General features: G+C 58.0%; 1 annotated feature.

The window, feature by feature from the left end:
• Positions 1-548: an enhancer, noted in NCBI's record as "H3K27ac-H3K4me1 hESC enhancer chr1:46951173-46951720 (GRCh37/hg19 assembly coordinates)". NCBI's record gives its function as "activates a minimal SCP1, AML or CMV promoter by ChIP-STARR-seq in naive H9 embryonic stem cells {active_cell/tissue: H9 hESC(naive)}" and the evidence as "EXISTENCE:reporter gene assay evidence [ECO:0000049][PMID:30033119]".

The following is a 2,588-nucleotide window of genomic DNA, read 5'->3' on the forward strand; positions in this document are numbered from 1 at the left end:
GGTATCTCTGAGCGGTGAAGGGGAGTAGCCGTCGGAGGGCGGGGACAGAGCGGTAGCTGCCTTGCGCTGGGATTGGGGGTGGGGGTGGGAGTGGGGAGGGCTCTTTAAGCGGCGGCCGCGCTAATAACCTGTCCAGGAGATGGCTCGTGGCAAATTGCTTTGTTAGTCTTGTCAGCGCGGCCGGGGCCGCCGTCAGCGCGCGCCATGGATCAAGATGATGAATCGCTGCGGACGGCGCAGATGCGGGCGGCCCGCGGCCGGGCCCCCGGGTAGGGGTGGGAGGTGGAGGGGGCCGCGGGGGGCCCGGCCGCCGCCATTAACTCCGGAATTAGGTCTAAGCCGCCCACCACCCAGCCACTGCCCCGGGGAGCGCCAGCCGTTGGGGCGGGAGCGGGCCCAGGATGGGGACTGAGACCCGCGTCCCCCACCCGAACCTGGACCTAGCCTCCTCTGAACGCAGAGGGCAGTGGGCCGCCCGGAAGGGGCGGGGAGGGGCCCCGGCCCTCAAGCCGCACAGCCAGGTGTTCCCGCTCTTCGAGGACATCCCCTGCCCGCCTGGAGGTTGAGAGGGCGGCCGCATGGGGCATTCGCCAACCCCTCTCACCCGCCCCAAACCCTCGCTGTGAGCTGCTAGGGAGCCTTCGTGGGGGTGGAGGGGGAAGCTAAGGAGAAACAGAGAGAGAGGGACAGACAGACAGACAGACAGACAGACAGACAGACAGACAGACAGACAGAGTTGGGGTGTGAGTAGGGTGGTTGGGTTTGACATTGCTACTCTAAACTGAGCTCAGAGACCAGCGATGGTGGGGCTGGGGCCTGCCCTGGGACTTCAAGGGGACCTAGGCCCCTAAAGTGGTTCCGGGCAGACAGCTGGGACCCTGCGTTCTTTGCATTTCCAGACCAGTTGGAAACGGTGAGCACCTAGTTTTCCCAAGTTCCTAAATTAACTCACCCCTTACCCACCTCCCCCTTGGTCCAACTTAGAAACATCTCCCCCCAAAACACACACACACCACACGCACACCTAGGAATTTACAAACTCACACAATCCACATAAGCACAGTCTACATTCACATGTAAACGTGTATACGCATATATTACACACAAATATAGGAGTATATACTTAAATGTATTCATATACTCATAGCACAGGAAAATGAATTCGAACAAATATAAAACCACATCCAGAAATGCACCACTGCCTGCACTCCTAGTCCCAGCAGCCCAGGAAAGTCTACTGGGGACAGGTCCCCAGTTCCTCAGGGGATGCCTTTCTTTTAAGCCCTTTGAAGGCGTCAGCAACAGCCCTGGGCAGGCAGGTGGGGAGACTCCAGGAGGAAGGCCCTGAACTATTTCCACTTATTGATTCCTGTCTAGACGGTGGCACTTTCAAAATGGCTTTGTGAAATCACTAAAACCCACCCACATTGTGGCACATCAAGCTTCCCATCACTCAGGCCTCCCTAAAGGACGTGTTCCCTTTCCCTGTTTGGTCCTGTTTCCCTCCGGACTTTCCATCTCAGCAAGAGAGCTTGCTAGGGATTTTTGTTTTTCCCTCAAACTTTGTCCCCACACCCAGAAATCTACAACCAGCCGTGAATGCAGCCCTTGGGCTGCAATGTCTGTGAAAGTGTGTGGGGGTAGGAAGTGAGTGAGTGACCGCAGCTCTTTCTGTCCATGGTGTCCCCCTATATGGAGGTCTGTGTGTCTCTGTGAAGGTGGGTCTGGCCTGGTAGTGTGGGCTTCTCCAGGTATCTGGGGATCTGAGTCTGTGGAGGCCTGGTTGTATCATGAGGCTCAGGGCATACCGCCCACCCAGCCACACACCACCTCCAGACCTTGGGGACGGGGACAGCTGGCACAGGTGGGGGCCTTGGTAGCCTGGGATAGGAGGCAAGCAAGGATTCCCCCAGCTGGACTCAGAATCTGTGTGGCAGACAAGTTCCTTCCAAGAGTGGGTGCCTGGTTGAGCCTGCTGCCCTGCTGCCTCAGTAGTCCTCAGCCAACGAACAGAACTTGTGCTGTTCTCAAGCCCCCTTCCCCCAGCCCGGGCAGGTCTGGCCCACTCAGGCCCGGGCTGAGTTGAGGTCATCATTCCTCCAGCCTGCCCAGCAGCTCCTGTGCTATCTGAGGTGGGGACCTAGGGAGGAGGTAAGTTGGAGTTGAGTCCCTGGGCAAAGAAACATGATGCCCCCTCCTACTGGAAGGGGAGCCCCAGTTGGGGATGGGGGGCAGAGAGGATAAGGCCTACCTGAGCAAGCCTTCTCCATTCTGCCAGTCGGGATGGCAGGGAGGGACTTTGGTGCCCCCTCATTTGTTTCTCCATATGTGACCCTTCCACATGTGCACCTGGCCCCATGTCTGTGTGTGTGACTGAATGATGCTATGTGTGTGCAGGGGGTTATAGCTTTCTCCAGAATCATCTGTGTGCCTGTTTGTGTGTGGAGGGCAGCCAGATGGGGGCGCATTGTCCTTCCCACCATCTCCTCAGCTTGTGTGGAGCTCTAGCCGCAGTCTCAATTATCTAAGCCAAAGAAACAGCCTTGGCTCCCCTTCCCTCCCCTCCTCTCCACTCCCCTCCCGCACAG

This window comes from Homo sapiens, chromosome 1 (genome assembly GCF_000001405.40).
Source record: "Homo sapiens chromosome 1, GRCh38.p14 Primary Assembly".
NCBI lineage: Eukaryota > Metazoa > Chordata > Mammalia > Primates > Hominidae > Homo > Homo sapiens.